Consider the following 13,291-nt stretch of genomic DNA (forward strand, 5'->3'; position numbering starts at 1 on the left):
TTGATCTGTTTAATATGGTGAATTATATGAGTAGATTTTCAGATATTGAACTGGCCTAGCATTTAATACCCACCTGGACAGGCTATATGTACATTTATATGCTAACACACATATGTGTGCACACATATACATACATATTCACATATGAATATTACACACACTTATTTAATATGATAGATTTGGCCTAGTAATCTATTAATTAGGATTTTTGTCTCTATATTCATAAATGAAATTGGCCTGTAATTTTCCTTTCTTCTACTATCCCTGTCTGTTTTTTGTAGACAGATTTTGTAGCTTTTTTCTTAGCTGTCTTAACATTATTAATTATACTCTAGTTGGACTTAAGCTTTCTGTTTTGGGCCTGGGAGAGATTCATTAAATATAGCTTCTGAAAATATCTACTCTGATCTCTTAGGTCTGCATTCTTCTTAATACTTAAAATTTTGGGATTCCTCATGGTTATGTCTATGTACTGTCTACAAAAATCATAATTATTTGTAGTGGCTATTATTTATAACCAAGTCCTTTTGTTACTTTGGAGTGGATCTTTGACCTTCAAGATGTTTTGAACCTGGCTGGGTGCAGTGGCTCACACCTGTAATCCCAGCACTTTGGGAGGCTGAGGCGGGTGGATCACCTGAGGTCAGGAGTTCAAAACCAGCCTGGCCAACGTGGTGAAACCCCCATTTTTTATATTTATAAAAAATATAAATATTTATAAAAATATTTATATAAATATTTATAAAAATATTTATATAAATATTTATAAAATATTTATATAAATATTTATAAAAATATTTATATAAATATTTATAAAAAATATAAATATTAGCCATGTTTGGTGGCTCACGCCTGTAATCCCAGCTACTCGGGAGGCTGAAGCACAAGAATTGTTTGAACCCAGGAGGCGAAGGTTGCAGTGAGCCGAAATAGCTCCACTGCACTCCAGCCTGGGAGAAAGAGTGAGAATCTGTATCAAAAAAAAAAAAAAAAAAAAAAAAAAAAAAGATGTTTTGAACATTTTTGTGATTGGCAATTTTGCTAGTGCTATCATATTGTTTACATTGTACTTGACTTTTCTTATTCTCCATGGAAATTAGTAATAACAGTATCTACCTCTGACATTTGTACCATATTCTATTGCTTATAAAGTATATTTTATATACAAAAAGTGTTTTGTATTTTGGATCCCAACCATTTGAAATGCTCTTCACCACTGATACTCATAAGAGTGTTACGTACAACACCATCAACTTTTGTCTGGATTATTGCAATAATTATTTACCCTCATGTTCCCTACAGTTCATCTCATACAGCAGCCAGATTGATCTTTTAAAAGTATAATCAAATCATAATTCTCTCATGCTTAAAACCCTAAAGGGCTTCTAAGTACACTAGAAAAGTTCGAATTCTTACCATGATTTACAAATTCTGTTTTGCCAGTGCCTAGAACAAGGCCTTGCACGTAGTGGATACTCAATCAATATTTGTTGAGTTAATAAGTAACTCATTCATTGGCAGTTTTAGAGAAGCATTGACTTGCCTCAGATCTCATAGCTTATGAATAAGTGACCACGTCAGGATGAGAACTCCAAATCTCATGTTTGCAAGTTGCCTGGCTGAGTTACATTTTTCTAATTATCCAATGGACCCTGAACCAGACTATTCTCACTGTCTTCCAGACTCTGTGTACCCCTGTTAATTTGTTTGTGCCTTTCTCTTTCTGTTTTGCCTTCTAAATCGGGCCCATCCTCAAGATTTGGACATAATTCTTTTCCTTTTATGGAACATTGTCTTATGTCTTCAGTACCGTGTACTTGTTTTTGTGGTGGTTGTGGTGGGTGGGATGGCGGAGGTTACAGTGCTAGTGGGAGAGGAACTCTTATAAATACCAGATATTGCACCACATGCTTAGGTAAGCAGTTCCACTTATTTCCCATGTGACCTTATGAGCAAAGAAGCACTATTACTTAAAAATGAGAAAACAGCCCCAGACAGGTTTTCACTTGCATCACCTGAATGGGGAAATCTTCTATACATTAGCCCCAGGAAAACTCAGAGGGCTGTGAAATATTCTAAGGATTCTAAGGCCAAACCTTCTCCAGCTGCCTGGCAGAGCTAGGTGGGTGCCCAGGTGCCCTTGGTCAGGACAGTTCTTCATTATCCTGCTTTATTTAGCCTGTCTCACTTGGCCAGGGCCATAACCAATAGTCTGGCCTATATGTCAACATCACACAGAGAAAATAGGAGCAGGATGTTCTGTTTCTGTTCAATAAAAATTTTGTTTCCAAACACTAAACCTTTTTATAGGTAGTTGTGATTTTTTTCCCTGTCTTTACTTGGGCTTCTGATTGTATTTATTTATTTATTTTCTCCTTTCTGCTTCTAGTATTCTAGTCAAGAAGAAAGCCAGAGGAAGCCATTGCCCACTGCTGCCGCCCAGTGTTGTAAGTGAGAAACTTGTCTATGAATCTCTTTTAATTGTAGCTTTCTGTCGCTTCTCTGAACATGGGTTATTCTGAGCTGGGGAGGGTGGAGATGTCATGTGTGTAAGCAGAAGATATTCCTGAAGCACATCTGTTCAGGCGCCTTTCTCTGATGGCTGTCTATCTATTAGCTTTAGGGAGACGTTTTTCGGTTTTGTATGGGGGGAGTAGGGCTCATCTTTTTTTCTACATTTGTTAGCTTCTACCCCTGGAGGAATGATTTAACCCCCTCTATCCCTGTTTACCTGTTATTATTCTTTAAGGCTCAGTTTAAATATCATCACTTCTGGGTAATCTTTGTGCTGTTTTCTCCTTCTCCCAAGTCTAACTTAGGTCTCTCCTGTGTGCTTCCATTTTACTGTGTGCACATCCATCATATGACATATATATATTTCTTTGACATGAACACAAAGTTTTAAAAGACATAGACATTGTTCCATTTTATATTCTTTGCATTTGGCTCAACACCTATGCATAGTATACCTCAATAAAATTTGATAAATGATTGACTTATTTCTCCTGAGATTGATTTGTCAAGATCACACAGATTAATTATTGAAATGAGCCATACGTTTTTGGTATATTGTTACCCTCTCCCCAGTTTCCCTCAAAACAGCTTGAGACACTAAAGGACTGACTTAGAGTCTGATCTATTTCGCTTTTTCAACCTGTGATATGTGTGTGTGTGTGTGTGTGTAGGGGGATGCGGGGGGGGGGGATTTTGATACTTTTGTGTTGCTCTGTTTTTTCTGAATCTCATGCCAAACTCCATCAACTACAAGTTGAAGATGATGGTAATGATTGTAGCATTTGTTGTTGTAATATTAGTAATAATAAGAACTGTAGGCTGGGCATGGTTCCCAGCACTTTGGAAGGCTGAGGCAGGAGGATTTCTTGAGCCCAGGAGTCTGAGACCAGTTTGGGCAACAAACAGATACCTCATTTCTACAAAAAAAAAAAAAAAAAAAAAAAAAACCAAGTGTGATGGCATGTGCCTGTAGTCCCAGATACTTGGGAGGCTGAGGTGGGAGGATGGCTTGAGCCTGGGAAATCGAGGCTGTAGTGAGCTATGATTGTGCCACTGCACTGCAGCCTGGGCAACAGAGCAAGACCCTGTTTCAAAACAAACAAACAAACAAACAAACAAACCATAGCAGCTAACACTATTGAGGTCTTACAGTATGCCAGATGCCATTCTGAGACTTTAAGTATTCTAATTTATTTAAACTTCACAACAACCCTAAGACAGATTTTACTGTTGTTCCCATTTTTGAGAGCAGGAAACTGAAGCATAAATAGATTGAGTAATTCGCCACAAATCACATAGCTAGTAACTGGTGAAGTAAATATTCAAACACAGAAAATCTGACTTAGTAGCTCCTACCTCTGTGTGAACCACTGTGTTATATTGATTCCTTCATATTGTTTCTGAAAAGGAAAACCTTTGTCCATGGTTTGTGAATCTGTTGGTTGCCTTCAATTTGGTACATTCTATAGGCCCACTTTCCTGATAAAAGTAAAGGCCAATGGTAGAGGTGAACTTTTTTTTCTTTATTTAAAGAAAACCTATTTTTCATATGATTTATTACTAACTTTTGTTTTTTGCTGTTTAGGACCGAACATTTAAGGTCATAGGAGGTCAGAAGAATCTGAATCCAAAACCAGGTTTTCAGGTTTACAGGTCCTTTTCAAAACTCATTGTAATGAGTTCATTGTGATTGATTTAATCTTTTAAACCTTTTTCCACGACTGCTAATGAGAAGCAAAATGTAAAGATTGAGATTTTACTTCCTACTCCTTCCTGGTCTCATTGATGAAATATAATTGAAGCGATTAAAGCGCAAATGCCAAGAGGGCAGGAGGAAATAAAAAACCTTAAATAATCAAGCAACTTTATTCCCATACATTTTTCATATGTTTACAGGCTATTTTATTTTTCTGTGAATAAGCCATTCTTGTCTTTTGCCTGCTCCCTCGTATATTTTTATTTTGAGAAATGTTAAACCTATAGAAAAGTTGAAAGAACAGTACCAAGAGTGCTCATTACCCTTTACTAGGTTCAGTGACAAGCATTTTGCCAGATTTGCTCTTTCCCTCATCCCCCTCTTATTTTTCTCTCATGTTTCTTTATCTCTGTCTCCATACATACATACACAAAAATACAAGTATTTTCTGAATCATTTGAATATAAGCTGCACATGCTATAACACATCAGCGTGTTTCTGCTAAGAGCTAGGAAAGTCAACATAACTGAAATACCATGATCACAATCAAGAAATTTAAGACTGATACAGTAATATTGTCTATAATACAGTCTATATTAAGAACTCCCTAATTGTCCCCAAAAATATTTTGAAAGCTTTTTTTATATTTTAAAAAATTTTATTTATTTTTTAATTTTTATGGGTACATAGTAGGTATTTATGGAATACATGAGTATTTTGATACGGGCATACAATATGTAATAATCACATCAAGGTAAATGGGGTATCCATCACCTCAAGCATTTATCATTTCTTTGTGTTACAAATATTCCAGTTATACTCTTTTAGTTATTTAAAAATGTGTAATAAATTATTGTTGACCATAGTCACCCTATTGTGCTAGCAAATACTAGATCTTACTCATTCTAGATAACTATTTTTGTACGCATTAACCGTCCCTAATCTCCTCTTACCCCTAACTCCCCTTCCCAGCCTCTGTTAATCATCCTTCTATTCTCTGTCTCCATGAATTCAATTGTTTTAATTTTTAGCTCCCACAAACGAGTGAGAACATGTGAAGTTTGTCTTTCTGTGCCTGGCTTATTTCACACAACATAATGTCCTCCAGTTTCATCCATATTGTTGCAAATGACAGGATCTCATTCTTTTTTTTTATGGATAAATAGTACTACATTGTGTTTATGTACTACATTTTCCTTTTCCATTCATCTGTTGATGGAAGCTTAGGCTGCTTTCAAATCTTGCCTATTGCGAACATTGCTGCAACAAACATAGGAGTGCAGATATCTCTTTGATATACTTTCATAGCCTTCCCCCGCCATGATCTAATCAATAACCATACATTTCATTTATTGTCCTGTCTCTTTAACCTACCTTCTTTCCTTCATTCCTTTTCTTTTCTTTGTTCTTTTCTTTCTCTCTCCTTCCTTCTTTCCTTTCCCTTCCTTTCCTTTCCTTTTCCTTTTCCTTTCTTTTCCTTTTCTCTTTTCACTTTTCTCTTTTTTCTTTCTTTCCTTTCTTGAGAAGGAGTCTTGCTCCATCATCCAGGCTGGAGTGCAGTGGCATGATCTTGGCTGGCTGTAAGCTTTGCCTCCTGGGTTCAACCAATTCTCCTGCCTCAGCCTCCTGAGTAGCTAGAACTACAGGCCATGCTACCACTCCCAGCTAATTTTTTTGTATTTTTAGTAGAGACAGGGTTTCACTATGTTGGCCAGGCTGTTCTTGAACTCCTGACCTCCAGTGATCCGCCCACCTCAGCCTCCAAAAGTGCTGGGATTACAGACATGAACCACCGCACTTGGCCTAGTCTTCTTTAATATAATAAAAAAAAATCTGGCCACGCACTGTGGCTCACACCTGTAATCCCAGGACTCTGCAAGGTGGAGACGGGTGGATCACTTGAGCCCAGGAGTTCTAGACCAATCCGGGCAACATGGCAAAACATCATCTCTATAAAAAAATACAAAAATTAGTCAGGCATAGTGGTGCATACCTGTAGTCCCAGCTACTTGGGAGACTGAGCCAGGAGGATCACCTGAGCCTGGGGAGATTGAGGCTGCAGTGAGCCGTGATCATGCCACTGCACCCCAGCCTGGGTAACAGAGTGAGACCCTGTCTCAAAAAAAACCAAACCAAACCAATACAAAAACAAAACTTTGCCTTTTTGGTCATTTATGATATTGATCTTTTTTTATTTACAAAAATAGTTTATTCTAATTATAATCTCTATTCATATGGGGGTATACCTTCTTACAGGTTTCTGGGAAGCAGTTTAGCAATATGTACCAAGTCTTTGAATAGGAATAGGCTTTGACTCAGCAGCTGAATTTCTGGAAATTTATCCTCAGTCATCACAGCAGACAAAGATATATGTGCAAAGATGTTCACTGCAGAATTATTTAAGTAGCAAAATTTGAAAATGACTTAATAGTTAAACAGCAGTAAAAAATAATAGTCCTTAAGATAGAATATTATGCATTTATTAAAAATCATGCTTTGAATAATAGGAACATTTTCATGGAACTTGGTAAAAAAAAAAAAAAGTATTACAGTTATCCCTCAGTATACTTGGGGGATTGCTTCCAGGACCCCTGCACGTACCAAAATCCGTGCATACTCAAATTCCTCACTTGGCCCTGAGGAACCCACCTATATGAAAACTTGGCCCTCTGTATATGCAGGTTTCACATCCTGCATTTTCTATCTGTCTCATTGAAAAAGATCCATAAGAGGACTCATGCAGTTCAAGCTTATGTTATTTAAGGGTCAACTTAAAACCCTCAGTGTGTGTGTGTGTTTATGTATATATATACATAAGCAATTTAAGACTTATTGCTGAGAACTTAATTGTGTCTACCCCCCATTTATATATTGAAGCCTCAACACTCAATATTATTATATTTGGAGACAGGGCCTGTGAGGAGGTGATAAAGGTTAAGTGAGGTCATAATCTGATAGGGCTGGTGCCCTCATAAGAAGAAGAGATAGCAGAGCTCCATCCCTACCAAGTGAGGACACAGTAAGAAGGTAGCCATCTGTAAGCCAGGAAGAAAGCCCTCACCAGGAATTGAATCAGCTAGCCAGCCCCTTGATCTTGGACTTTCTAGCCTCCAGAACTGTGAGAAATAAATTTCTGTTACTTAAGACACCCAGTCTAAGTGATTTCGTTAAGGCAATCCAAGAAGACTACTGCAGATTTTGGTACTAAGAGGTGGATTGTTGCTGAAACAAATACCAAAAAATTTGCAAGTAGCTTTGGAACTGGGTGATGGGTAGAGGCTGGAAGAGTTTTGAGGTGCATGCTAGAAAAAACTGAGATTTCCATGAAGGGGTTATTGTTAGAAATATGGACATGAAAGGTGATTCTGGTGAGGGCTTAGAAAGAAAAGAGGAGAGCTACAGAGAAAACTTCCATCTTAGAGAATGTGTAATTAATCATGATCAGAATGTTGGTATGAGTGTAGATATTAAAGGCAATTTTTGTGAGATCTCAGATAGAAGCAGTTAATAATAATAATAAGGAAATAACTGGAAGAAGGATGATCCTTGTTATAAGGTGGCAAAGAACTTGGCTGAATTGTGTTCTAGTGTTTTGTAGAAGGTAGAACCTGAGAGCAATTAAATTGCATATTTAGCAGAAGAAATTTCTAAGCAATGTTTTGAAGATGTGATGTGGCTTTCCCTTACTGCTTGTAGTAAAATGCAAGAGGACAGAAATGAATGAAGAAAGACTGTTGGACTTCTTAGGTTCTAGAAGACTGGACCATAGAGCTATTTGACTGTGAATCTGTGCTATTTTCCAGGGAAAGGAAAGAATTACCCTCAAAGGTGACAGAGGTCATCAGGGCTGCCCCCCTCACCACAGACCTGGGGGCAAGGTCATTTACTTCATTATGTAAGAGGGCAGGCTTATCACAGTGAGGCAGCTCCTGAAAAGCCAAGGAGGCAGATATATCAAGCCAAAGAGAATTATTCTTGAGTCTTAGATCTAATGGAATTCACCTTGGTAGGCTTTGGACTTGCTTAGGACCTGTCACCCCTTCCTTTCTTCCCTGTTTCTCTCTTTTGGAATGGGAATGTCTAGCCTATGTCTGCCCTACGATTGTATTTTGGAAGCACATAACTTGTCTGGTTTCGCAGGTTTATAGCTGGAAATGCATTTCGCTTTAGGATGACTCTTTACTCAAGATCACTCGTCTTATTTAGATGATAATTAGATAAGACTTGGGACTTTAGACTTTGAAGTGGAAATTGAATGAGTTAAGACTTGGGGCTGTTGGGATGGAATGAATGTATCTTGTGTGGATAAAGACATGAATTATGGGGGGCTGGGGCAGAATTGTATGAACTTGATTGTGTCCCCTCCAAATTCATATGTTGAAGCCCTAGTCCCCAGTTTGACTGTATTTGGACATAGGACCTGTGAGGAAGTGATAAAAGTTAAATGAGGTCATAAGGATGGAGCCCTAATCTGACAGGGCTGGGGCCCATTTAAGAAGAAGAGACACCAGAGCTTGCTCTCTCCACCATGTGAGGACACAGCAAAAAGGTGACCATCTGCAAGCCAGGAAGAGACTGTTCACCAGAAACCAAACCTTATGGGAACATTGACCTTGGGCTTTCCAGCCTCAGACTGTGAGAAAATAAATTGTTGTTGTTTAAGCTCCCCAGCCTATGGTATTTTGTTATGGCAGCCTGAGCAGATGTATACACTATGTAAATGCATCTATACAATTATAAGAAAAATTACTAGGAAAAGAATGATCAAAATATTAACCAAATTTGTCTCTAGGATATGGGATTGTGGCCTTAAATTTTTTTTAATAGTTAAAAGTTATTATTGGCCAGGCACAGTGGCTCATGCTTGTAATTTCAGCATTTTGGGAGGCTGCAGCGGGAGGATGGCTTAAGGCTGAAGTTCAAGACTAGTCCAAGCAACATAGTGAGACCCCCATCTCTACAATTAAAAACAAAGTTATTATTAAGAAAAGTAATTGAGTTCTTGTTCATTCTTTTTCCTTTTTTTGCGATGGAGTCTCTCTCACTCTGTCACCCAGACTGGAGTGCAGTGACACGATCTTGGCTCACGGCAACCTCCGTCTCCCTGGTTCAAGTGATTCTCCTGCCTCAGCCTCCGAGTAGCTGGGACCACAGTCATGTGTCATCACACCCGGCTAATTTTTGTATTTTTGTTGGCCAGGCTGGTCTTGAACTCCTGACCTCAAGTGATCTGCCTGGCTTGGTCTCCAAAAGTGCTGGGATTATAGGCGTTGAGCCACCAAGCCCAGTTGAGTCCTTGTTCTTAACCTGGGTTTGCTGCTCTCTCTCTGTGACTTTGGAAGTCATCCCACTGTTAACTTCAGTTTCTTGAAGTAATAAATGGAGGTGGTGTTCTAGATGATCTCTAGGACTTTTCCAGCTGTAGCACATCATATGACTCTATTACTTCCTAGTCCTCAGATTCCTTCATGTGGATGGCCCCTCCACTACCCAGTGTGTTAGGATCAATCCTCTGCGGCCATTTATAAGATGTTTCCAAAGTATTTTCAGAAATCACTGGGCTACTGCTCTAAAGAAACTCTCCCTTTGATACAAGAGTTACTGTGGCTGGAAGTGGTGGCTCATGCCTGTAATCCCAGCACTTTGGGAGGCCAAGGCAGGAGAATCACTTGAGGCCAGCAGTTTGAAACCAGCCTGGGCAACATAGCGAGACCCTGTCTCTATTTAAAAATAAATAAGTTTAAAAAGTAAAAAAATAAAAGGAGTTACTCTAGCCCCAGTTATTTGGATATACTCTTAAAGGTGATGGGATTCTTTAAAAGTATTGAGGCAAACTATCTGCTTTTCCCCTTTGTCTCAGGTCAAGCCTTTCTCTTTTAGCATTCAGTAACAACATTCTGCATTCACTTTTATCCTGTGAAGTTTTTGTCTCATTTGGTAACTGATATATTTATTTTAAAATGTTGTAGGGTAATTATTGTGATTTATTATGTCCATCTGTTTTTTATCCCCCATTTTATTACCATTTCTAGCATTTAGGCTGACTTGTGCCCATTTCTTGAAAGAAAGGTAAGGCAGAGAGCAGAAGAAGTGATCTTTGTGGTTTTAACTTCCCAAAGCCTAAGATTTTAGGAGAGTATGCAAAGTGTTCTGGACAAATATTATGAGAGGGAGCAGAGTTTCACCTGAATCTCCCAATTTCTAAGAAGAGCTTCTTTTGACTTGAATGAGAGGAGAGAAATGCAAGAGAATGAGGAGAGAAAGAAAGAAAGTGACCAGGGGAGATACATTGGGACCTTGTGTCTGCTTTCTGTGTTAGGGCACTGGTGAAGCAGCAGGAGTCAAAGAGGGGATGGCTAGGTGTTGTGTCTTAGGCAGATGGACCATCACAAAGAGATTCCTATGCTCCAAGTTGCACTTGCTCCAAAATGAGTCTTGGGCTTTCTAGAAGTGGGAAAGTGAGCCTCTGGTCCTATTGGAACCACTTGGGCAGGAATAAGAAATGTCTCTCTCAGAAGTGTTCTCTGTGTCCGAGTGACTAAGGACTGGAGGAGACCTGGACTATCTTGATGAATGCCAGTTCACAAAGACACATCCATGCCATGGGCAGTCACTTCACTGCAGTGTCTTTTTAAAAATTATTATGCTTTAAGTTCTGGGTTACATGTGCAGAAACACTGCAGTATCTTATTCACATGCTGTGTCAGTATTCAGAGCAGTCTTCATGGGACAGGGGCAAGACTTAGGTTGAGACTGAAGGATGAATATGTCTTCTAAGAGTGATAACATTAGTTTTCCTAGGAGACATATTGATCTCTTTGTTGGTGGTTGTTGCCTCTCTGGCTGATATTGCTTGGTTGTTCCTGCCCTCTGAGGTGTAGGTGAGTGCTGGCTTTCTCAATGGGGTGCAGGTGTGAGTCTCCAAAGGTTACTTTTGGGGACTCCCTGGGGTCTTATGTGAGTGATTGCTCTGGTTCAACTTCTTTTGTCCTGCTATTGACTACTACCAAAAGATGTACTTAGCTTGTTGCTGCTGGTATCCTGTTACTTAGAGGCTTCTTGAATGGGGAAATATCAAGATAACTGGGACTCACCCACATTCCACAGAATTCACATGACCCATGGGAACTCAATTATTCTTGCCCTGAGAAACAAAGGATATAGGCAAGCAGTTCCATTCTCTTCTCTGTCTCCCAGCTCTGCCTCCTCTGTTCTTTTTGGCTGCTTAGAAAAGTACACAGTTCACATCAGCAAGTCTCCTGTCCAAGCAGACATCCAACCTGTCTGGCTCCACTCCCATTCTTGTAGGCATCCCTAACCTTTGTGAATTATGAAGCTCCTCCTCACTTGGATTCAGAGCAGAAAAACATTCGTTTTTCCCCTCCCCAGGAGGTGGAGAGGGGAAGGAGTGACCTCTCTTCACCAACAATTGCTCTCCCAAAGGTTGCTGGGTCCCACATTGACATAGACATTCTACAAGACAGCTGACAAGGATCTAGTTAAATTGTCTTAACAAAATTTCCTGGTTGGGCACAGTGGCTCACGCCTGTAATCCCAGCACTTTGGGAGGCTGAGGCAGGCAGATCATGAGGTCAAGAGATCGAGACCATCCTGGCTAACACAGTGAAACCCCATCTATACTAAAAATACAAAAAATTAGCCAGGTGTGGTGGCGGGCACCTGTAATCCTAGCTACTCGGGAGGCTGAGGCAGAAGAATTGCTTGAACCCGTGAGACGGAGGTTGCGGTGAGCCAAGATTGCACCACTGTACTCCAGCCTGGGCGACAGAGCGAGACTCTGTCTCGGAAAAAATTTCCTAAAATCTGGATTTGTCTGATTATTTCCTCGTAATTAGATTCAGGTTACTGCACAGCTGATGTCAATTTGTCCCTTTATTTGTGATGCTGATGTTAATTATTAGTTCAGATGATGTTTTCCAGATCTCTTTGTTGCAAAGATATTTTTCTCCTTTGTAACTAAGTGTGTAGTGGCAGTGATACTTTGAGACTGTGTGTATACTGCTTTTATTTAAATAAACTTCCATGCATTAGTTTTAGGATGTATTATGATCATTGCCTAAATTTATTATTACACTGTGGTTGCAAAATGATGATTTTCTAATTCTGTCATTCTTTTTTAAAAGGAAAAAATGGTTTCTCTATACTTGCACAATTCTGACACCAAGTATGTTTTCCATACCAAGCAATTCTCTGCTAACATCAACTGAGTGTCTCATGACTTAATTCTGACACTAGAGATGTGGAGTTAGTGCAGACCCTACAGGTTAAGGGCTCAGTCCCACAAGACTGCCTCCCACTTTAGAGACCAATCATAAATCCCAGGTTACTGCCTGAACTTCTGACCAACTGGCTATAAACTGGAGTTCCCACAAGCCCCTCCTCAGGTTCAATAATTTGCTAGGATGGCTCACAGAACCCAGGAAAACAGTTAATTTGGTATTACCGATTGATTAAAAGGATATTTTAAAGGATACAAACAAATAGCCAGATGAAATGATACATTGGAGGAAGTCCAGAAGGGTCTGAGCACAGGAACTTCTGTCCCTGTGGAGTTTTGGGTGCACTACTCTCCCTGTGGGTGCATTTTTGTTCACCAGTGTGGAAACTCTCTAAACCCCTTTGGCTGGGGTTTTCACGGACACATCATTATGTAAGTATGATTGGTTAAATCATTGATCATTGATGATTAATTGGCTCAACCTTCAGCCCCTCTTTTCTCCCTGGAGTTTGTGGGGTGGGACTGAAAGTTCTAACCCTCTAATCACAAAGTTGGTTCTTTTGGCAACTAGCCTCCATCCTCCAGGAGTTATCACATTAGCATTAACTCAGGTATGATTGAAAGGGGCTTACTATGAATAACAAAAGACAGTCTTATCCCTATCACTCAAGGAGTTAAAAGGGTTTTAGAAGCTCTGTGCCAAGAACTGCAGGCAGAGACCAAATATTTATTTCTTATTGTGTCACACTGTTATTATACTGAACAGTTGTCAGTCTTTTGTAAAGAAGAGCTTTCCTTCTTCGCATACCCCCACCCCTCTTTTAAAATGAGTATCACTATGG

The 13,291-nt window shown here is 39.4% G+C and overlaps 1 protein-coding gene across 11 annotated transcripts in view; it reads left to right on the forward strand.

The window, feature by feature from the left end:
- The window catches only part of UNC13B (unc-13 homolog B), a 243,327-nt gene that overhangs the window by 94,595 nt on the left and 135,441 nt on the right, over window positions 1-13,291 (forward strand). For all 11 annotated transcript variants that reach the window (NR_170667.1, NM_001387551.1, NM_001371189.2 and 8 more), the window contains exon 7: window positions 2,390-2,447. Coding sequence is in view for 10 of the 11 variants with exons in the window: in NM_001387551.1 (NP_001374480.1) it covers window positions 2,390-2,447 (58 nt within the window). In the remaining variant the exon portion in view is untranslated. The remainder of the gene's footprint in view (window positions 1-2,389; window positions 2,448-13,291) is intronic.

The sequence above is a fragment of the Homo sapiens genome, chromosome 9 (genome assembly GCF_000001405.40).
Source record: "Homo sapiens chromosome 9, GRCh38.p14 Primary Assembly".
NCBI lineage: Eukaryota > Metazoa > Chordata > Mammalia > Primates > Hominidae > Homo > Homo sapiens.